The sequence below is a fragment of the Homo sapiens genome, chromosome 1 (genome assembly GCF_000001405.40).
Source record: "Homo sapiens chromosome 1, GRCh38.p14 Primary Assembly".
NCBI lineage: Eukaryota > Metazoa > Chordata > Mammalia > Primates > Hominidae > Homo > Homo sapiens.
In genome coordinates, this window is record NC_000001.11 from 148,545,603 (window position 1) to 148,569,149 (window position 23,547).

A 23,547-nucleotide genomic window follows, 5' to 3' on the forward strand; every position below is an offset into this window, starting at 1 on the left:
GAATATGACCCTAACCAGAAGACTCAGTGGATCCTTATCACCTTCATAGAAAGGTACTCACCATCCATGTCAACAGCCAAGCCAACACGCTGTTGCTCCAATACATAAAAGGCACTTCTGTAGGGCTGGCATGAGTCAGTCAGTTCAAGACAACCTGAAGGAGTTGAATAACATCTATCCAGTGAGTCCTGCAAGACTTCAGGCCCTTTCTCATCCAGCAGCTCCCTGCTGAGCCTGGAAAAGTGGGAAAAAGTAAAGAATAAGCCAGGGGGAATCAGAAACCACACAGCCCCAGCTAGATTTCATGGCTAACGTAAGGAAGAGTTTGAAAAGAAAAAGGACAGATCCATTAATGAGGTAACAAATTATTGCCTTTATGTTGGGATAGAACAGGGCCAGGTAGAAAACAATGAAAGAGAAAGACAGACAGAGACAGAGACAGAGACAGAGACAGAGAGAAAGTGACCTAGTGAATTGGCCAGGTGACATACTGGTAAGGGAGTCAAAGGACACTCTGAGTTAGTGCCCTCATGACACACAGCAAACTGTGATCATGAAAAGAGTGAGCTCAATAGTTTTCCATAAAATATGCTCAAAATTCGATGCAGTGGCCATGAGAGTACAGCTTTTGAAGTATGGTCAACCTATGGTACGTTAGGAAATGATAAGGGGAGGAAGAAATGGAAACCTAAACATCTACTGCAATGAAAACCAACAGCAATGACAGTAGGAGTAATTCAGCCTTCGCTGAAAACATGTCATCAAACACACTCTGGTTTCCCTGAATCTGTTGCCTCCAGGTGTTAACACAGAATTAAGCATCCACAATTGCTGAAAGTCACCTGGGGCATGGTGGGTTTTGATCTTCTTCCCCTTCTTTTCTTCCCCTTCTTCTTTCCTTCTTTGATCTTCTTCCCCTTCTTTTCTTCCCCTTCCCCTTCTTTTCAATTTCTGCAATAAATTCAGACATGGACAGACACATTAAGCTGATTCCCCTACACACATAACAATCCACTGTCTAATCCTCACACAGGGACCTCAGGCTCCTCAGCATAAGAATAGGACACTGTGAGAGATATATTTCAGGAGGCCTGAAGGCTGGTCATGATAGAAATTCCTCGGTTTTTCTCCCAGAAACTGTGGGTAAAATGTCCCTATTCTAGTAGATCGTTATCCCAATATCATTTGTCCCAAGTTTGTGCAAACAGTTACGCCATATTTTTCCAATCAACTTAAAGCAAATACCCTCAAATGATTTCTAGGAGAAAAACTGCAATATTTAGCCCTGTCTCATCAAATACTCAGATTGTTCATGGTTGTGAGGACTTTAGACACTGAAATTAGAGTGAAAAAGGAAATCTACAAACCCTTGAGTCAAAATCATAGTTCTCTGAATTTGTCACATCTGCCCAGGTCCAATGTCATGAGAATAGGATCAGGGCGCCACAGGTATGGCCTGAGACTAGGAAGAGAGTCTTGCTCACTGACCCATCCCTTGTCTGGGCTTCCAGGTAGAACTAGAGTTTCATTCAACCTACATGTGCCTATAGGTCCTCCCTGTGGCAATGACATCTCTCAGCTCAGTAATGGCCACTTGGAGCAGGAATATGATCTTTATATGGAAGACTCAGTGGATCCTTATCACCTTCATAGAAAGGTACTCACCTCCCACGTCAAGAGAAAAGCCAACATGTTTTTCCTCCAATGCATAAAAGGAACTTCCATAGGGCTGGCAGGAGTCAGGCTGTTCAAGACAACTGGAAGGAGTTGAATAACATCTATCCAGTGAGTCCTGCAAGACTTCAGGCTCTACTACCTCCAGCAGCTCCCTGCTGAGCCTGGAAAAGGAGGAAAAAGTAAAGAATAAGCCAGGGGAAATCAGACACAACAGAGCCCCAACTAGGTTTCATGGGTAGCATAGGGAAGTGGTTAAAAAACTAAAAGGATAGATCCATTAATGAGGTAACAAATTATTGCCTTCATGTTGGGACAGAACAGGGCCAAATGGAAAAGAATGAAAGAGAAAGACAGATAGACACACACACACACACACACACACACACACAGAGAGAGAGAGAGAACGAGCTCAGTGAATTGTCCAGGTGACACACTGATGAGGGAGTAACAGGACACTCTGAGTTAGTGCCCTCAGGACACACAGCATACAGGGATCATGAAAAGACTGTGCTCAATAATTTTCCATAAAATGTGCTCAAGTTTCCATGCAGTCGCCATGAGAATACAGTTTTTGAAGTCTGGTCCACCTACAGTAGGTTAGTAAATGATAAGGGGAGGAAGAAATGGAAACCTAAATATCTACTGCAATGAAAACCAACAGCAATGTTAGTAGGAATAATTCAGGCTTGGTTGAAAAGATGTAATCGATAATGTCAGCCCGCTCTGTTTTCCCTGAACCAGGAGTCTCCAGATGTCAACACAGAAGTAGCTGTTCACAATTGCTCAGTTACCTGGGGCATGGTGGGCCTTGGTCTTCTTCCTCTTCTTGGTCCTTTTTAATTCCTGCAATACATTCAGACAGGGACAGACAAAATAAGCCAATTCACCTACACCCATAACAGTCCACTGTCTAATCCCCACACAGGGATCTCAGGCTCCTCAGCATGAGAACAGGACAATGTGAGAGATATACTTCAGGAGGCCTGAAAGCTGGTCATGATATTCTTTGGTTTGCATCTCAGAACCAAGGGTGAAATATCCCCATTCTGGTAGATCGTTATCCCAAAATCATTTATCCCAAGTTTGTGCAAACAGTTATGCTTTATTGCTCCCATCAGTTCAAAGAAAATGCCCCAGATGATTTCCAGGAGGAAAACTAAAGTATTCAGCCCTGTCTCATCAAATGCCCAGCTCGTTCATGGATGCAAGAATTTTAGACACTGAAATTAGAATGAAGGAGGAAATCTACAAACCCTTGAGTCCAAATCATACTTCTGTGAATTTTTTACATCTGCCTGGGTCCAATGTGCTGAGAGCGGGCTCAGGTTGCCACAGGCATGGCTGGAGACTAGGAATAGAGCCTTGCTCACTGACCCATTTCATGTCTAGGCTTCCAGCTGAGACTACAGTTTCATTACAACCTATATGCGCCCATAGGTCCTGCCTGCGGCAATGACGTCTCTCGGGTCAGTAAGGGGCACTTGGAACAGGAATATCACCCCTATCTGGAAGACCAGGTGGAGGCTTATCACCTTCACAGTAAGGTACTCACTGTCCACGTCAAGAGCCAAGCCAAGGTACTGTTCCTCCAATGAGTAAACAGCACTGCTGTAGGGCTGGCCTAAGTCAGGCAGTTCAAGATAACCTGAAGGAGTCGAATAACATCTATCCAGTGAGTCCTGCAAGACTTCAGGCTCTTTCTCATCCAGCAGCTCCCTGCTGAGCCTGGAAAAGTAGGAAAAAGTAAAGAATAAGCCAGGGGGAATCAGAAACCACACAGCCCCAGCTAGATTTCATGGCTAACATAAGGAACTGTTTAAAAAGAAATAGGACAGATCCATTAATGAGGTAATGAATTATTGCCTTTATGTTGGGATAGACCAGGGCCAGGTAGAAAAGAATGAAAGAGAAAGACAGGGAGAGGGAGAGAGAGAGAGAGGAGAAAGTGAGCTCAGCGAATTGGCCGGGTGACACACTGATGAAGGGGTCAAAGGACACTCTGAGTTAGTGCCCTCGGGACACACAGCGAACAGTGATCACGAAAAGAGTGGGCTCAATAATTTTCCATAAACTTGCTCAAGATTCCATGCAGTTGCCATACAGCCTTTGAGGTATGGTCAACCTATAGTAAGTGAGTAAATGATAAGGGGAGGAAGAAATGGAAACCTAAACATCTACTGCAATGAAAACCAACAGCAATGTCAGTAGGAGTAATTCAACCTTCGTTGAAAACATGAAATTGAACACACTCTTGTTTTCCCTGGACCTGGCATCTCCAGGTGTCAACACAGAATTAAGCATCCATAATTGCTCAAAGTTACCTGGGGCATGATGGGTCTTGGTCTTCTTCCACTTCTTTGTACTTTTCAATTTCTGCAATAAGTTCAGACATGGACAGACATATTAAGCTGGTTCTCCTACACACATAACAATCCACTGTCTAATCCTCACACAGGGACTTCAGGCTCCTCAGCATGAGAATAGGACACTGTGAGAGATAGTCTTCAGGAGGCCTGAAGGCTGATCACCATAGAGATTCCTTGGTTTTTGTCCCAGAAACTGTGGGTAAAATTCCCTATTCTGGTAGATCGTTATCCCAATATCATTTGTCCCAAGTTTGTGCAAATGGTTATGCCATATTTTTCCAATCGATTTAAAGCAAATGCCCCCAAATGGCTGCTAAGAGAAAAACTGCACTATTCAGCCCTGTCTCATCAAATACTCAGATTGTTCATGGTAGCGAGGATTTTACACGCTGAAATTAGAGTGAAGGATGAAATCTACAAGATCTACAAAATTGAGACAAAATCAGAGTTGTGTGAATTTGTCACATCTGCCCAGATCCAACATCTTGACAGTAGGATTAGGGCGCCACAGGCATGGCCTGAGACTAGGAAGAGAGCCTTGCTCACTGACCCATCCCTTGTCTGGGCTTCCAAGTGGAACTAGAGTTTCACTCAACCTACATGTGCCTATAGTTCCTCCCTGTGGCAATGACATCTCTCAGCTCAGTAAGGGCCACTTGCAGTAGGAATATGACCCTAACCAGAAGACTCAGTGGATCCTTATCACCTTCATAGAAAGGTACTCACCATCCATGTCAACAGCCAAGCCAACACGCTGTTGCTCCAATACATAAAAGGCACTTCTGTAGGGCTGGCATGAGTCAGTCAGTTCAAGACAACCTGAAGGAGTTGAATAACATCTATCCAGTGAGTCCTGCAAGACTTCAGGCCCTTTCTCATCCAGCAGCTCCCTGCTGAGCCTGGAAAAGTGGGAAAAAGTAAAGAATAAGCCAGGGGGAATCAGAAACCACACAGCCCCAGCTAGATTTCATGGCTAACGTAAGGAAGAGTTTGAAAAGAAAAAGGACAGATCCATTAATGAGGTAACAAATTATTGCCGTTATGTTGGGATAGAACAGGGCCAGGTAGAAAACAATGAAAGAGAAAGACAGACAGAGACAGAGACAGAGACAGAGACAGAGAGAAAGTGACCTAGTGAATTGGCCAGGTGACATACTGGTAAGGGAGTCAAAGGACACTCTGAGTTAGTGCCCTCATGACACACAGCAAACTGTGATCATGAAAAGAGTGAGCTCAATAGTTTTCCATAAAATATGCTCAAAATTCGATGCAGTGGCCATGAGAGTACAGCTTTTGAAGTATGGTCAACCTATGGTACGTTAGGAAATGATAAGGGGAGGAAGAAATGGAAACCTAAACATCTACTGCAATGAAAACCAACAGCAATGACAGTAGGAGTAATTCAGCCTTCGCTGAAAACATGTCATCAAACACACTCTGGTTTCCCTGAATCTGTTGCCTCCAGGTGTTAACACAGAATTAAGCATCCACAATTGCTGAAAGTCACCTGGGGCATGGTGGGTTTTGATCTTCTTCCCCTTCTTTTCTTCCCCTTCTTCTTTCCTTCTTTGATCTTCTTCCCCTTCTTTTCTTCCCCTTCCCCTTCTTTTCAATTTCTGCAATAAATTCAGACATGGACAGACACATTAAGCTGATTCCCCTACACACATAACAATCCACTGTCTAATCCTCACACAGGGACCTCAGGCTCCTCAGCATAAGAATAGGACACTGTGAGAGATATATTTCAGGAGGCCTGAAGGCTGGTCATGATAGAAATTCCTCGGTTTTTCTCCCAGAAACTGTGGGTAAAATGTCCCTATTCTAGTAGATCGTTATCCCAATATCATTTGTCCCAAGTTTGTGCAAACAGTTACGCCATATTTTTCCAATCAACTTAAAGCAAATACCCTCAAATGATTTCTAGGAGAAAAACTGCAATATTTAGCCCTGTCTCATCAAATACTCAGATTGTTCATGGTTGTGAGGACTTTAGACACTGAAATTAGAGTGAAAAAGGAAATCTACAAACCCTTGAGTCAAAATCATAGTTCTCTGAATTTGTCACATCTGCCCAGGTCCAATGTCATGAGAATAGGATCAGGGCACCACAGGTATGGCCTGAGACTAGGAAGAGAGTCTTGCTCACTGACCCATCCCTTGTCTGGGCTTCCAGGTAGAACTAGAGTTTCATTCAACCTACATGTGCCTATAGGTCCTCCCTGTGGCAATGACATCTCTCAGCTCAGTAATGGCCACTTGGAGCAGGAATATGATCTTTATATGGAAGACTCAGTGGATCCTTATCACCTTCATAGAAAGGTACTCACCTCCCACGTCAAGAGAAAAGCCAACATGTTTTTCCTCCAATGCATAAAAGGAACTTCCATAGGGCTGGCAGGAGTCAGGCTGTTCAAGACAACTGGAAGGAGTTGAATAACATCTATCCAGTGAGTCCTGCAAGACTTCAGGCTCTACTACCTCCAGCAGCTCCCTGCTGAGCCTGGAAAAGGAGGAAAAAGTAAAGAATAAGCCAGGGGAAATCAGACACAACAGAGCCCCAACTAGGTTTCATGGGTAGCATAGGGAAGTGGTTAAAAAACTAAAAGGATAGATCCATTAATGAGGTAACAAATTATTGCCTTCATGTTGGGACAGAACAGGGCCAAATGGAAAAGAATGAAAGAGAAAGACAGATAGACACACACACACACACACACACACACACACAGAGAGAGAGAGAGAACGAGCTCAGTGAATTGTCCAGGTGACACACTGATGAGGGAGTAACAGGACACTCTGAGTTAGTGCCCTCAGGACACACAGCATACAGGGATCATGAAAAGACTGTGCTCAATAATTTTCCATAAAATGTGCTCAAGTTTCCATGCAGTCGCCATGAGAATACAGTTTTTGAAGTCTGGTCCACCTACAGTAGGTTAGTAAATGATAAGGGGAGGAAGAAATGGAAACCTAAATATCTACTGCAATGAAAACCAACAGCAATGTTAGTAGGAATAATTCAGGCTTGGTTGAAAAGATGTAATCGATAATGTCAGCCCGCTCTGTTTTCCCTGAACCAGGAGTCTCCAGATGTCAACACAGAAGTAGCTGTTCACAATTGCTCAGTTACCTGGGGCATGGTGGGCCTTGGTCTTCTTCCTCTTCTTGGTCCTTTTTAATTCCTGCAATACATTCAGACAGGGACAGACAAAATAAGCCAATTCACCTACACCCATAACAGTCCACTGTCTAATCCCCACACAGGGATCTCAGGCTCCTCAGCATGAGAACAGGACAATGTGAGAGATATACTTCAGGAGGCCTGAAAGCTGGTCATGATATTCTTTGGTTTGCATCTCAGAACCAAGGGTGAAATATCCCCATTCTGGTAGATCGTTATCCCAAAATCATTTATCCCAAGTTTGTGCAAACAGTTATGCTTTATTGTTCCCATCAGTTCAAAGAAAATGCCCCAGATGATTTCCAGGAGGAAAACTAAAGTATTCAGCCCTGTCTCATCAAATGCCCAGCTCGTTCATGGATGCAAGAATTTTAGACACTGAAATTAGAATGAAGGAGGAAATCTACAAACCCTTGAGTCCAAATCATACTTCTGTGAATTTTTTACATCTGCCTGGGTCCAATGTGCTGAGAGCGGGCTCAGGTTGCCACAGGCATGGCTGGAGACTAGGAATAGAGCCTTGCTCACTGACCCATTTCATGTCTAGGCTTCCAGCTGAGACTACAGTTTCATTACAACCTATATGCGCCCATAGGTCCTGCCTGCAGCAATGACGTCTCTCGGGTCAGTAAGGGGCACTTGGAACAGGAATATCACCCCTATCTGGAAGACCAGGTGGAGGCTTATCACCTTCACAGTAAGGTACTCACTGTCCACGTCAAGAGCCAAGCCAAGGTACTGTTCCTCCAATGAGTAAACAGCACTGCTGTAGGGCTGGCCTAAGTCAGGCAGTTCAAGATAACCTGAAGGAGTCGAATAACATCTATCCAGTGAGTCCTGCAAGACTTCAGGCTCTTTCTCATCCAGCAGCTCCCTGCTGAGCCTGGAAAAGTAGGAAAAAGTAAAGAATAAGCCAGGGGGAATCAGAAACCACACAGCCCCAGCTAGATTTCATGGCTAACATAAGGAACTGTTTAAAAAGAAATAGGACAGATCCATTAATGAGGTAATGAATTATTGCCTTTATGTTGGGATAGACCAGGGCCAGGTAGAAAAGAATGAAAGAGAAAGACAGGGAGAGGGAGAGAGAGAGAGAGGAGAAAGTGAGCTCAGCGAATTGGCCGGGTGACACACTGATGAAGGGGTCAAAGGACACTCTGAGTTAGTGCCCTCGGGACACACAGCGAACAGTGATCACGAAAAGAGTGGGCTCAATAATTTTCCATAAACTTGCTCAAGATTCCATGCAGTTGCCATACAGCCTTTGAGGTATGGTCAACCTATAGTAAGTGAGTAAATGATAAGGGGAGGAAGAAATGGAAACCTAAACATCTACTGCAATGAAAACCAACAGCAATGTCAGTAGGAGTAATTCAACCTTCGTTGAAAACATGAAATTGAACACACTCTTGTTTTCCCTGGACCTGGCATCTCCAGGTGTCAACACAGAATTAAGCATCCATAATTGCTCAAAGTTACCTGGGGCATGATGGGTCTTGGTCTTCTTCCACTTCTTTGTACTTTTCAATTTCTGCAATAAGTTCAGACATGGACAGACATATTAAGCTGGTTCTCCTACACACATAACAATCCACTGTCTAATCCTCACACAGGGACTTCAGGCTCCTCAGCATGAGAATAGGACACTGTGAGAGATAGTCTTCAGGAGGCCTGAAGGCTGATCACCATAGAGATTCCTTGGTTTTTGTCCCAGAAACTGTGGGTAAAATTCCCTATTCTGGTAGATCGTTATCCCAATATCATTTGTCCCAAGTTTGTGCAAATGGTTATGCCATATTTTTCCAATCGATTTAAAGCAAATGCCCCCAAATGGCTGCTAAGAGAAAAACTGCACTATTCAGCCCTGTCTCATCAAATACTCAGATTGTTCATGGTAGTGAGGATTTTACACGCTGAAATTAGAGTGAAGGATGAAATCCACAAGATCTACAAAATTGAGACAAAATCAGAGTTGTGTGAATTTGTCACATCTGCCCAGATCCAACATCTTGACAGTAGGATTAGGGCGCCACAGGCATGGCCTGAGACTAGGAAGAGAGCCTTGCTCACTGACCCATCCCTTGTCTGGGCTTCCAAGTGGAACTAGAGTTTCACTCAACCTACATGTGCCTATAGTTCCTCCCTGTGGCAATGACATCTCTCAGCTCAGTAAGGGCCACTTGCAGTAGGAATATGACCCTAACCAGAAGACTCAGTGGATCCTTATCACCTTCATAGAAAGGTACTCACCATCCATGTCAACAGCCAAGCCAACACGCTGTTGCTCCAATACATAAAAGGCACTTCTGTAGGGCTGGCATGAGTCAGTCAGTTCAAGACAACCTGAAGGAGTTGAATAACATCTATCCAGTGAGTCCTGCAAGACTTCAGGCCCTTTCTCATCCAGCAGCTCCCTGCTGAGCCTGGAAAAGTGGGAAAAAGTAAAGAATAAGCCAGGGGGAATCAGAAACCACACAGCCCCAGCTAGATTTCATGGCTAACGTAAGGAAGAGTTTGAAAAGAAAAAGGACAGATCCATTAATGAGGTAACAAATTATTGCCTTTATGTTGGGATAGAACAGGGCCAGGTAGAAAACAATGAAAGAGAAAGACAGACAGAGACAGAGACAGAGACAGAGACAGAGACAGAGAGAAAGTGACCTAGTGAATTGGCCAGGTGACATACTGGTAAGGGAGTCAAAGGACACTCTGAGTTAGTGCCCTCATGACACACAGCAAACTGTGATCATGAAAAGAGTGAGCTCAATAGTTTTCCATAAAATATGCTCAAAATTCGATGCAGTGGCCATGAGAGTACAGCTTTTGAAGTATGGTCAACCTATGGTACGTTAGGAAATGATAAGGGGAGGAAGAAATGGAAACCTAAACATCTACTGCAATGAAAACCAACAGCAATGACAGTAGGAGTAATTCAGCCTTCGCTGAAAACATGTCATCAAACACACTCTGGTTTCCCTGAATCTGTTGCCTCCAGGTGTTAACACAGAATTAAGCATCCACAATTGCTGAAAGTCACCTGGGGCATGGTGGGTTTTGATCTTCTTCCCCTTCTTTTCTTCCCCTTCTTCTTTCCTTCTTTGATCTTCTTCCCCTTCTTTTCTTCCCCTTCCCCTTCTTTTCAATTTCTGCAATAAATTCAGACATGGACAGACACATTAAGCTGATTCCCCTACACACATAACAATCCACTGTCTAATCCTCACACAGGGACCTCAGGCTCCTCAGCATAAGAATAGGACACTGTGAGAGATATATTTCAGGAGGCCTGAAGGCTGGTCATGATAGAAATTCCTCGGTTTTTCTCCCAGAAACTGTGGGTAAAATGTCCCTATTCTAGTAGATCGTTATCCCAATATCATTTGTCCCAAGTTTGTGCAAACAGTTACGCCATATTTTTCCAATCAACTTAAAGCAAATACCCTCAAATGATTTCTAGGAGAAAAACTGCAATATTTAGCCCTGTCTCATCAAATACTCAGATTGTTCATGGTTGTGAGGACTTTAGACACTGAAATTAGAGTGAAAAAGGAAATCTACAAACCCTTGAGTCAAAATCATAGTTCTCTGAATTTGTCACATCTGCCCAGGTCCAATGTCATGAGAATAGGATCAGGGCGCCACAGGTATGGCCTGAGACTAGGAAGAGAGTCTTGCTCACTGACCCATCCCTTGTCTGGGCTTCCAGGTAGAACTAGAGTTTCATTCAACCTACATGTGCCTATAGGTCCTCCCTGTGGCAATGACATCTCTCAGCTCAGTAATGGCCACTTGGAGCAGGAATATGATCTTTATATGGAAGACTCAGTGGATCCTTATCACCTTCATAGAAAGGTACTCACCTCCCACATCAAGAGAAAAGCCAACATGTTTTTCCTCCAATGCATAAAAGGAACTTCCATAGGGCTGGCAGGAGTCAGGCTGTTCAAGACAACTGGAAGGAGTTGAATAACATCTATCCAGTGAGTCCTGCAAGACTTCAGGCTCTACTACCTCCAGCAGCTCCCTGCTGAGCCTGGAAAAGGAGGAAAAAGTAAAGAATAAGCCAGGGGAAATCAGACACAACAGAGCCCCAACTAGGTTTCATGGGTAGCATAGGGAAGTGGTTAAAAAACTAAAAGGATAGATCCATTAATGAGGTAACACATTATTGCCTTCATGTTGGGACAGAACAGGGCCAAATGGAAAAGAATGAAAGAGAAAGACAGATAGACACACACACACACACACACACACACACAGAGAGAGAGAGAGAACGAGCTCAGTGAATTGTCCAGGTGACACACTGATGAGGGAGTAACAGGACACTCTGAGTTAGTGCCCTCAGGACACACAGCATACAGGGATCATGAAAAGACTGTGCTCAATAATTTTCCATAAAATGTGCTCAAGTTTCCATGCAGTCACCATGAGAATACAGTTTTTGAAGTCTGGTCCACCTACAGTAGGTTAGTAAATGATAAGGGGAGGAAGAAATGGAAACCTAAATATCTACTGCAATGAAAACCAACAGCAATGTTAGTAGGAATAATTCAGGCTTGGTTGAAAAGATGTAATCGATAATGTCAGCCCGCTCTGTTTTCCCTGAACCAGGAGTCTCCAGATGTCAACACAGAAGTAGCTGTTCACAATTGCTCAGTTACCTGGGGCATGGTGGGTCTTGGTCTTCTTCCTCTTCTTCGTCCTTTTTAAATCCTGCAATACATTCAGACAGGGACAGACAAAATAAGCCAATTCACCTACACCCATAACAGTCCACTGTCTAATCCCCACACAGGGATCTCAGGCTCCTCAGCATGAGAACAGGACCATGTGAGAGATATACTTCAGGAGGCCTGAAAGCTGGTCATGATATTCCTTGCTTTGCATCTCAGAACCAAGGGTGAAATATCCCCATTCTGGTAGATCGTTATCCCAAAATCATTTATCCCAAGTTTGTGCAAACAGTTATGCTTTATTGTTCCCATCAGTTCAAAGAAAATGCCCCAGATGATTTCCAGGAGGAAAACTAAAGTATTCAGCCCTGTCTCATCAAATGCCCAGCTCGTTCATGGATGCAAGAATTTTAGACACTGAAATTAGAATGAAGGAGGAAATCTACAAACCCTTGAGTCCAAATCATACTTCTGTGAATTTTTTACATCTGCCTGGGTCCAATGTGCTGAGAGCGGGCTCAGGTTGCCACAGGCATGGCTGGAGACTAGGAATAGAGCCTTGCTCACTGACCCATTTCATGTCTAGGCTTCCAACTGAGACTACAGTTTCATTACAACCTATATGCGCCCATAGGTTCTGCCTGCGGCAATGACGTCTCTCGGGTCAGTAAGGGGCACTTGGAACAGGAATATCACCCCTATCTGGAAGACCAGGTGGAGGCTTATCACCTTCACAGTAAGGTACTCACTGTCCACGTCAAGAGCCAAGCCAAGGTACTGTTCCTCCAATGAGTAAACAGCACTGCTGTAGGGCTGGCCTAAGTCAGGCAGTTCAAGATAACCTGAAGGAGTCGAATAACATCTATCCAGTGAGTCCTGCAAGACTTCAGGCTCTTTCTCATCCAGCAGCTCCCTGCTGAGCCTGGAAAAGTAGGAAAAAGTAAAGAATAAGCCAGGGGGAATCAGAAACCACACAGCCCCAGCTAGATTTCATGGCTAACATAAGGAACTGTTTAAAAAGAAAAAGGACAGATCCATTAATGAGGTAATGAATTATTGCCTTTATGTTGGGATAGACCAGGGCCAGGTAGAAAAGAATGAAAGAGAAAGACAGGGAGAGGGAGAGAGAGAGAGAGGAGAAAGTGAGCTCAGCGAATTGGCCGGGTGACACACTGATGAAGGGGTCAAAGGACACTCTGAGTTAGTGCCCTCGGGACACACAGCGAACAGTGATCACGAAAAGAGTGGGCTCAATAATTTTCCATAAACTTGCTCAAGATTCCATGCAGTTGCCATACAGCCTTTGAGGTATGGTCAACCTATAGTAAGTGAGTAAATGATAAGGGGAGGAAGAAATGGAAACCTAAACATCTACTGCAATGAAAACCAACAGCAATGTCAGTAGGAGTAATTCAACCTTCGTTGAAAACATGAAATTGAACACACTCTTGTTTTCCCTGGACCTGGCATCTCCAGGTGTCAACACAGAATTAAGCATCCATAATTGCTCAAAGTTACCTGGGGCATGATGGGTCTTGGTCTTCTTCCACTTCTTTGTACTTTTCAATTTCTGCAATAAGTTCAGACATGGACAGACATATTAAGCTGGTTCTCCTAAACACACATAACAATCCACTGTCTAATCCTCACACAGGGACTTCAGGCTCCTCAGCATGAGAATAGGACACTGTGAGAGATAGTCTTCAGGAGGCCTGAAGGCTGATCACCATAGAGATTCCTTGGTTTTTGTCCCAGAAACTGTGGGTAAAATTCCCTATTCTGGTAGATCGTTATCCCAATATCATTTGTCCCAAGTTTGTGCAAATGGTTATGCCATATTTTTCCAATCGATTTAAAGCAATTGCCCCCAAATGGTTGCTAGGAGAAAAACTGCACTATTCACCCTGTCTCATCAAATACTCAGATTGTTCATGGTAGCGAGGATTTCAGACGCTGAAATTAGAGTGAAGGATGAAATCTACAAGATCTACAAAATTGAGACAAAATCAGAGTTGTGTGAATTTGTCACATCTGCCCAGGTCCAATGTCATGAGAGTAGGATTAGGGCGCCACAGGCATGGCCTGAGACTAGGAAGAGAGCCTTGCTCACTGACCCATCCCTTGTCTGGGCTTCCAAGTGGAACTAGAGTTTCATTCAACCTACATGTGCCTATAGGTCCTCCCTGTGGCAATGACATCTCTCAGCTCAGTAAGGGCCACTTGCAGTAGGAATATGACCCTAACCAGAAGACTCAGTGGATCCTTATCACCTTCATAGAAAGGTACTCACCATCCATGTCAACAGCCAAGCCAACACGCTGCTGCTCCAATATGTAAAAGGCACTTCTATAGGGCTGGCATGAGTCAGTCAGTTCAAGACAACCTGAAGGAGTTGAATAACATCTATCCAGTGAGTCCTGCAAGACTTCAGGCCCTTTCTCATGCAGCAGCTCCCTGCTGAGCCTGGAAAAGTGGAAAAAAGTAAAGAATAAGCCAGGGGGAATCAGAAACCACACAGCCCCAGCTAGATTTCATGGCTAACGTAAGGAAGAGTTTGAAAAGAAAAAGGACAGATCCATTAATGAGGTAACAAATTATTGCCTTTATGTTGGGATAGAACAGGGCCAGGTAGAAAACAATGAAAGAGAAAGACAGAGAGAGAGAGACAGAGACAGAGACAGAGACAGAGACAGAGAGAAAGTGACCTAGTGAATTGGCCAGGTGACATACTGGTAAGGGAGTCAAAGGACACTCTGAGTTAGTGCCCTCATGACACACAGCAAACTGTGATCATGAAAAGAGTGAGCTCAATAGTTTTCCATAAAATATGCTCAAAATTCGATGCAGTGGCCATGAGAGTACAGCTTTTGAAGTATGGTCAACCTATGGTACGTTAGGAAATGATAAGGGGAGGAAGAAATGGAAACCTAAACATCTACTGCAATGAAAACCAACAGCAATGACAGTAGGAGTAATTCAGCCTTCGCTGAAAACATGTCATCAAACACACTCTGGTTTCCCTGAATCTGTTGCCTCCAGGTGTTAACACAGAATTAAGCATCCACAATTGCTGAAAGTCACCTGGGGCATGGTGGGTTTTGATCTTCTTCCCCTTCTTTTCTTCCCCTTCTTCTTTCCTTCTTTGATCTTCTTCCCCTTCTTTTCTTCCCCTTCCCCTTCTTTTCAATTTCTGCAATAAATTCAGACATGGACAGACACATTAAGCTGATTCCCCTACACACATAACAATCCACTGTCTAATCCTCACACAGGGACCTCAGGCTCCTCAGCATAAGAATAGGACACTGTGAGAGATATATTTCAGGAGGCCTGAAGGCTGGTCATGATAGAAATTCCTCGGTTTTTCTCCCAGAAACTGTGGGTAAAATGTCCCTATTCTAGTAGATCGTTATCCCAATATCATTTGTCCCAAGTTTCTGCAAACAGTTACGCCATATTTTTCCAATCAACTTAAAGCAAATACCCTCAAATGATTTCTAGGAGAAAAACTGCAATATTTAGCCCTGTCTCATCAAATACTCAGATTGTTCATGGTTGTGAGGACTTTAGACACTGAAATTAGAGTGAAAAAGGAAATCTACAAACCCTTGAGTCAAAATCATAGTTCTCTGAATTTGTCACATCTGCCCAGGTCCAATGTCATGAGAATAGGATCAGGGCGCCACAGGTATGGCCTGAGACTAGGAAGAGAGTCTTGCTCACTGACCCATCCCTTGTCTGGGCTTCCAGGTAGAACTAGAGTTTCATTCAACCTACATGTGCCTATAGGTCCTCCCTGTGGCAATGACATCTCTCAGCTCAGTAATGGCCACTTGGAGCAGGAATATGATCTTTATATGGAAGACTCAGTGGATCCTCATCACCTTCATAGAAAGGTACTCACCTCCCACGTCAAGAGAAAAGCCAACATGTTTTTCCTCCAATGCATAAAAGGAACTTCCATAGGGCTGGCAGGAGTCAGGCTGTTCAAGACAACTGGAAGGAGTTGAATAACATCTATCCAGTGAGTCCTGCAAGACTTCAGGCTCTACTACCTCCAGCAGCTCCCTGCTGAGCCTGGAAAAGGAGGAAAAAGTAAAGAATAAGCCAGGGGAAATCAGACACAACAGAGCCCCAACTAGGTTTCATGGGTAGCATAGGGAAGTGGTTAAAAAACTAAAAGGATAGATCCATTAATGAGGTAACAAATTATTGCCTTCATGTTGGGACAGAACAGGGCCAAATGGAAAAGAATGAAAGAGAAAGACAGATAGACACACACACACACACACACACACAAACACACACACACACACAGAGAGAGAGAGAGAGAGAGAGAGAGAGAACGAGCTCAGTGAATTGTCCAGGTGACACACTGATGAGGGAGTAACAGGACACTCTGAGTTAGTGCCCTCAGGACACACAGCATACAGGGATCATGAAAAGACTGTGCTCAATAATTTTCCATAAAATGTGCTCAAGTTTCCATGCAGTCACCATGAGAATACAGTTTTTGAAGTCTGGTCCACCTACAGTAGGTTAGTAAATGATAAGGGGAGGAAGAAATGGAAACCTAAATATCTACTGCAATGAAAACCAACAGCAATGTTAGTAGGAATAATTCAGGCTTGGTTGAAAAGATGTAATCGATAATGTCAGCCCGCTCTGTTTTCCCTGAACCAGGAGTCTCCAGATGTCAACACAGAAGTAGCTGTTCACAATTGCTCAGTTACCTGGGGCATGGTGGGTCTTGGTCTTCTTCCTCTTCTTCGTCCTTTTTAATTCCTGCAATACATTCAGACAGGGACAGACAAAATAAGCCAATTCACCTACACCCATAACAGTCCACTGTCTAATCCCCACACAGGGATCTCAGGCTCCTCAGCATGAGAACAGGACCATGTGAGAGATATACTTCAGGAGGCCTGAAAGCTGGTCATGATATTCTTTGGTTTGCATCTCAGAACCAAGGGTGAAATATCCCCATTCTGGTAGATCGTTATCCCAAAATCATTTATCCCAAGTTTGTGCAAACAGTTATGCTTTATTGTTCCCATCAGTTCAAAGAAAATGCCCCAGATGATTTCCAGGAGGAAAACTAAAGTATTCAGCCCTGTCTCATCAAATGCCCAGCTCGTTCATGGATGCAAGAATTTTAGACACTGAAATTAGAATGAAGGAGGAAATCTACAAACCCTTGAGTCCAAATCATACTTCTGTGAATTTTTTACATCTGCCTGGGTCCAATGTGCTGAGAGCGGGCTCAGGTTGCCACAGGCATGGCTGGAGACTAGGAATAGAGCCTTGCTCACTGACCCATTTCATGTCTAGGCTTCCAACTGAGACTACAGTTTCATTACAACCTATATGCGCCCATAGGTCCTGCCTGCGGCAATGACGTCTCTCGGGTCAGTAAGGGGCACTTGGAACAGGAATATCACCCCTATCTGGAAGACCAGGTGGAGGCTTATCACCTTCACAGTAAGGTACTCACTGTCCACGTCAAGAGCCAAGCCAAGGTACTGTTCCTCCAATGAGTAAACAGCACTGCTGTAGGGCTGGCCTAAGTCAGGCAGTTCAAGATAACCTGAAGGAGTCGAATAACATCTATCCAGTGAGTCCTGCAAGACTTCAGGCTCTTTCTCATCCAGCAGCTCCCTGCTGAGCCTGGAAAAGTAGGAAAAAGTAAAGAATAAGCCAGGGGGAATCAGAAACCACACAGCCCCAGCTAGATTTCATGGCTAACATAAGGAACTGTTTAAAAAGAAAAAGGACAGATCCATTAATGAGGTAATGAATTATTGCCTTTATGTTGGGATAGACCAGGGCCAGGTAGAAAAGAATGAAAGAGAAAGACAGGGAGAGGGAGAGAGAGAGAGAGGAGAAAGTGAGCTCAGCGAATTGGCCGGGTGACACACTGATGAAGGGGTCAAAGGACACTCTGAGTTAGTGCCCTCGGGACACACAGCGAACAGTGATCACGAAAAGAGTGGGCTCAATAATTTTCCATAAACTTGCTCAAGATTCCATGCAGTTGCCATACAGCCTTTGAGGTATGGTCAACCTATAGTAAGTGAGTAAATGATAAGGGGAGGAAGAAATGGAAACCTAAACATCTACTGCAATGAAAACCAACAGCAATGTCAGTAGGAGTAATTCAACCTTCGTTGAAAACATGAAATTGAACACACTCTTGTTTTCCCTGGACCTGGCATCTCCAGGTGTCAACACAGAATTAAGCATCCATAATTGCTCAAAGTTACCTGGGGCATGATGGGTCTTGGTCTTCTTCCACTTCTTGGTACTTTTCAATTTCTGCAATAAGTTCAGACATGGACAGACATATTAAGCTGGTTCTCCTAAACACACATAACAATCCACTGTCTAATCCTCACACAGGGACTTCAGGCTCCTCAGCATGAGAATAGGACACTGTGAGAGATATTCTTCAGGAGGCCTGAAGGCTGATCACCATAGAGATTCCTTGGTTTTTGTCCCAGAAACTGTGGGTAAAATTCCCTATTCTGGTAGATCGTTATCCCAATATCATTTGTCCCAAGTTTGTGCAAATGGTTATGCCATATTTTTCCAATCGATTTAAAGCAAATGCCCCCAAATGGCTGCTAGGAGAAAAACTGCACTATTCAGCCCTGTCTCATCAAATACTCAGATTGTTCATGGTAGTGAGGATTTTAGACGCTGAAATTAGAGTGAAGGATGAAATCTACGAGATCTACAAAATTGAGACAAAATCAGAGTTGTGTGAATTTGTCACATCTGCCCAGATCCCACATCTTGAGAGTAGGATTAGGGCGCCACAGGCATGGCCTGAGACTACGAAGAGAGCCTTGCTCACTGACCCATCCCTTGTCTGGGCTTCCAAGTGGAACTAGAGTTTCACTCAACCTACATGTGCCTATAGTTCCTCCCTGTGGCAATGACATCTCTCAGCTCAGTAAGGGCCACTTGCAGTAGGAATATGACCCTAACCAGAAGACTCAGTGGATCCTTATCACCTTCATAGAAAGGTACTCACCATCCATGTCAACAGCCAAGCCAACACGCTGTTGCTCCAATACATAAAAGGCACTTCTGTAGGGCTGGCATGAGTCAGTCAGTTCAAGACAACCTGAAGGAGTTGAATAACATCTATCCAGTGAGTCCTGCAAGACTTCAGGCCCTTTCTCATCCAGCAGCTCCCTGCTGAGCCTGGAAAAGTGGGAAAAAGTAAAGAATAAGCCAGGGGGAATCAGAAACCACACAGCCCCAGCTAGATTTCATGGCTAACGTAAGGAAGAGTTTGAAAAGAAAAAGGACAGATCCATTAATGAGGTAACAAATTATTGCCTTTATGTTGGGATAGAACAGGGCCAGGTAGAAAACAATGAAAGAGAAAGACAGACAGAGACAGAGACAGAGACAGAGACAGAGAGAAAGTGACCTAGTGAATTGGCCAGGTGACATACTGGTAAGGGAGTCAAAGGACACTCTGAGTTAGTGCCCTCATGACACACAGCAAACTGTGATCATGAAAAGAGTGAGCTCAATAGTTTTCCATAAAATATGCTCAAAATTCGATGCAGTGGCCATGAGAGTACAGCTTTTGAAGTATGGTCAACCTATGGTACGTTAGGAAATGATAAGGGGAGGAAGAAATGGAAACCTAAACATCTACTGCAATGAAAACCAACAGCAATGACAGTAGGAGTAATTCAGCCTTCGCTGAAAACATGTCATCAAACACACTCTGGTTTCCCTGAATCTGTTGCCTCCAGGTGTTAACACAGAATTAAGCATCCACAATTGCTGAAAGTCACCTGGGGCATGGTGGGTTTTGATCTTCTTCCCCTTCTTTTCTTCCCCTTCTTCTTTCCTTCTTTGATCTTCTTCCCCTTCTTTTCTTCCCCTTCCCCTTCTTTTCAATTTCTGCAATAAATTCAGACATGGACAGACACATTAAGCTGATTCCCCTACACACATAACAATCCACTGTCTAATCCTCACACAGGGACCTCAGGCTCCTCAGCATAAGAATAGGACACTGTGAGAGATATATTTCAGGAGGCCTGAAGGCTGGTCATGATAGAAATTCCTCGGTTTTTCTCCCAGAAACTGTGGGTAAAATGTCCCTATTCTAGTAGATCGTTATCCCAATATCATTTGTCCCAAGTTTCTGCAAACAGTTACGCCATATTTTTCCAATCAACTTAAAGCAAATACCCTCAAATGATTTCTAGGAGAAAAACTGCAATATTTAGCCCTGTCTCATCAAATACTCAGATTGTTCATGGTTGTGAGGACATTAGACACTGAAATTAGAGTGAAAAAGGAAATCTACAAACCCTTGAGTCAAAATCATAGTTCTCTGAATTTGTCACATCTGCCCAGGTCCAATGTCATGAGAATAGGATCAGGGCGCCACAGGTATGGCCTGAGACTAGGAAGAGAGTCTTGCTCACTGACCCATCCCTTGTCTGGGCTTCCAGGTAGAACTAGAGTTTCATTCAACCTACATGTGCCTATAGGTCCTCCCTGTGGCAATGACATCTCTCAGCTCAGTAATGGCCACTTGGAGCAGGAATATGATCTTTATATGGAAGACTCAGTGGATCCTTATCACCTTCATAGAAAGGTACTCACCTCCCACGTCAAGAGAAAAGCCAACATGTTTTTCCTCCAATGCATAAAAGGAACTTCCATAGGGCTGGCAGGAGTCAGGCTGTTCAAGACAACTGGAAGGAGTTGAATAACATCTATCCAGTGAGTCCTGCAAGACTTCAGGCTCTACTACCTCCAGCAGCTCCCTGCTGAGCCTGGAAAAGGAGGAAAAGGTAAAGAATAAGCCAGGGGAAATCAGACACAACAGAGCCTCAACTAGGTTTCATGGGTAGCATAGGGAAGTGGTTAAAAAACTAAAAGGATAGATCCATTAATGAGGTAACAAATTGTTGCCTTCATGTTGGGACAGAACAGGGCCAAATGGAAAAGAATGAAAGAGAAAGACAGACACACACACACACACACACACACACACACACAAACACACACACACACACAGAGAACGAGCTCAGTGAATTGTCCAGGTGACACACTGATGAGGGAGTAACAGGACACTCTGAGTTAGTGCCCTCAGGACACACAGCATACAGGGATCATGAAAAGACTGTGCTCAATAATTTTCCATAAAATGTGCTCAAGTTTCCATGCAGTCACCATGAGAATACAGTGTTTGAAGTCTGGTCCACCTACAGTAGGTTAGTAAATGATAAGGGGAGGAAGAAATGGAAACCTAAATATCTACTGCAATGAAAACCAACAGCAATGTTAGTAGGAATAATTCAGGCTTGGTTGAAAAGATGTAATCGATAATGTCAGCCCGCTCTGTTTTCCCTGAACCAGGAGTCTCCAGATGTCAACACAGAAGTAGCTGTTCACAATTGCTCAGTTACCTGGGGCATGGTGGGTCTTGGTCTTCTTCCTCTTCTTCGTCCTTTTTAATTCCTGCAATACATTCAGACAGGGACAGACAAAATAAGCCAATTCACCTACACCCATAACAGTCCACTGTCTAATCCCCACACAGGGATCTCAGGCTCCTCAGCATGAGAACAGGACCATGTGAGAGATATACTTCAGGAGGCCTGAAAGCTGGTCATGATATTCTTTGGTTTGCATCTCAGAACCAAGGGTGAAATATCCCCATTCTGGTAGATCGTTATCCCAAAATCATTTATCCCAAGTTTGTGCAAACAGTTATGCTTTATTGTTCCCATCAGTTCAAAGAAAATGCCCCAGATGATTTCCAGGAGGAAAACTAAAGTATTCAGCCCTGTCTCATCAAATGCCCAGCTCGTTCATGGATGCAAGAATTTTAGACACTGAAATTAGAATGAAGGAGGAAATCTACAAACCCTTGAGTCCAAATCATACTTCTGTGAATTTTTTACATCTGCCTGGGTCCAATGTGCTGAGAGCGGGCTCAGGTTGCCACAGGCATGGCTGGAGACTAGGAATAGAGCCTTGCTCACTGACCCATTTCATGTCTAGGCTTCCAACTGAGACTACAGTTTCATTACAAACTATATGCGCCCATAGGTCCTGCCTGCGGCAATGACGTCTCTCGGGTCAGTAAGGGGCACTTGGAACAGGAATATCACCCCTATCTGGAAGACCAGGTGGAGGCTTATCACCTTCACAGTAAGGTACTCACTGTCCACGTCAAGAGCCAAGCCAAGGTACTGTTCCTCCAATGAGTAAACAGCACTGCTGTAGGGCTGGCCTAAGTCAGGCAGTTCAAGATAACCTGAAGGAGTCGAATAACATCTATCCAGTGAGTCCTGCAAGACTTCAGGCTCTTTCTCATCCAGCAGCTCCCTGCTGAGCCTGGAAAAGTAGGAAAAAGTAAAGAATAAGCCAGGGGGAATCAGAAACCACACAGCCCCAGCTAGATTTCATGGCTAACATAAGGAACTGTTTAAAAAGAAAAAGGACAGATCCATTAATGAGGTAATGAATTATTGCCTTTATGTTGGGATAGACCAGGGCCAGGTAGAAAAGAATGAAAGAGAAAGACAGGGAGAGGGAGAGAGAGAGAGAGGAGAAAGTGAGCTCAGCGAATTGGCCGGGTGACACACTGATGAAGGGGTCAAAGGACACTCTGAGTTAGTGCCCTCGGGACACACAGCGAACAGTGATCACGAAAAGAGTGGGCTCAATAATTTTCCATAAACTTGCTCAAGATTCCATGCAGTTGCCATACAGCCTTTGAGGTATGGTCAACCTATAGTAAGTGAGTAAATGATAAGGGGAGGAAGAAATGGAAACCTAAACATCTACTGCAATGAAAACCAACAGCAATGTCAGTAGGAGTAATTCAACCTTCGTTGAAAACATGAAATTGAACACACTCTTGTTTTCCCTGGACCTGGCATCTCCAGGTGTCAACACAGAATTAAGCATCCATAATTGCTCAAAGTTACCTGGGGCATGATGGGTCTTGGTCTTCTTCCACTTCTTGGTACTTTTCAATTTCTGCAATAAGTTCAGACATGGACAGACATATTAAGCTGGTTCTCCTAAACACACATAACAATCCACTGTCTAATCCTCACACAGGGACTTCAGGCTCCTCAGCATGAGAATAGGACACTGTGAGAGATATTCTTCAGGAGGCCTGAAGGCTGATCACCATAGAGATTCCTTGGTTTTTGTCCCAGAAACTGTGGGTAAAATTCCCTATTCTGGTAGATCGTTATCCCAATATCATTTGTCCCAAGTTTGTGCAAATGGTTATGCCATATTTTTCCAATCGATTTAAAGCAAATGCCCCCAAATGGCTGCTAGGAGAAAAACTGCACTATTCAGCCCTGTCTCATCAAATACTCAGATTGTTCATGGTAGCGAGGATTTTAGACGCTGAAATTAGAGTGAAGGATGAAATCTACGAGATCTACAAAATTGAGACAAAATCAGAGTTGTGTGAATTTGTCACATCTGCCCAGATCCCACATCTTGAGAGTAGGATTAGGGCGCCACAGGCATGGCCTGAGACTACGAAGAGAGCCTTGCTCACTGACCCATCCCTTGTCTGGGCTTCCAAGTGGAACTAGAGTTTCACTCAACCTACATGTGCCTATAGTTCCTCCCT

The 23,547-nt window shown here is 44.0% G+C and overlaps 1 protein-coding gene across 2 annotated transcripts in view; it reads right to left on the minus strand.

Annotated features, from left to right (window-relative positions):
- The window catches only part of NBPF14 (NBPF member 14), a 64,627-nt gene that overhangs the window by 14,218 nt on the left and 26,862 nt on the right, over positions 1-23,547 (minus strand). For both annotated transcript variants that reach the window (NM_001395631.1, NM_015383.2), the window contains 30 exons: positions 22,880-22,931; positions 22,111-22,283; positions 21,350-21,401; positions 20,541-20,713; positions 19,718-19,826; positions 18,937-19,109; positions 18,164-18,215; positions 17,395-17,567; positions 16,634-16,685; positions 15,805-15,977; positions 14,982-15,090; positions 14,191-14,363; positions 13,419-13,470; positions 12,650-12,822; positions 11,889-11,940; positions 11,088-11,260; positions 10,265-10,373; positions 9,478-9,650; positions 8,707-8,758; positions 7,938-8,110; positions 7,177-7,228; positions 6,374-6,546; positions 5,551-5,659; positions 4,770-4,942; positions 3,999-4,050; positions 3,230-3,402; positions 2,469-2,520; positions 1,666-1,838; positions 843-951; positions 62-234 (listed from right to left, as the gene is read on the minus strand). In NM_001395631.1, coding sequence (NP_001382560.1) covers positions 62-234; positions 843-951; positions 1,666-1,838; positions 2,469-2,520; positions 3,230-3,402; positions 3,999-4,050; positions 4,770-4,942; positions 5,551-5,659; positions 6,374-6,546; positions 7,177-7,228; positions 7,938-8,110; positions 8,707-8,758; positions 9,478-9,650; positions 10,265-10,373; positions 11,088-11,260; positions 11,889-11,940; positions 12,650-12,822; positions 13,419-13,470; positions 14,191-14,363; positions 14,982-15,090; positions 15,805-15,977; positions 16,634-16,685; positions 17,395-17,567; positions 18,164-18,215; positions 18,937-19,109; positions 19,718-19,826; positions 20,541-20,713; positions 21,350-21,401; positions 22,111-22,283; positions 22,880-22,931 — 3,660 coding nt within the window. The remainder of the gene's footprint in view (positions 1-61; positions 235-842; positions 952-1,665; positions 1,839-2,468; positions 2,521-3,229; positions 3,403-3,998; positions 4,051-4,769; positions 4,943-5,550; positions 5,660-6,373; positions 6,547-7,176; positions 7,229-7,937; positions 8,111-8,706; positions 8,759-9,477; positions 9,651-10,264; positions 10,374-11,087; positions 11,261-11,888; positions 11,941-12,649; positions 12,823-13,418; positions 13,471-14,190; positions 14,364-14,981; positions 15,091-15,804; positions 15,978-16,633; positions 16,686-17,394; positions 17,568-18,163; positions 18,216-18,936; positions 19,110-19,717; positions 19,827-20,540; positions 20,714-21,349; positions 21,402-22,110; positions 22,284-22,879; positions 22,932-23,547) is intronic.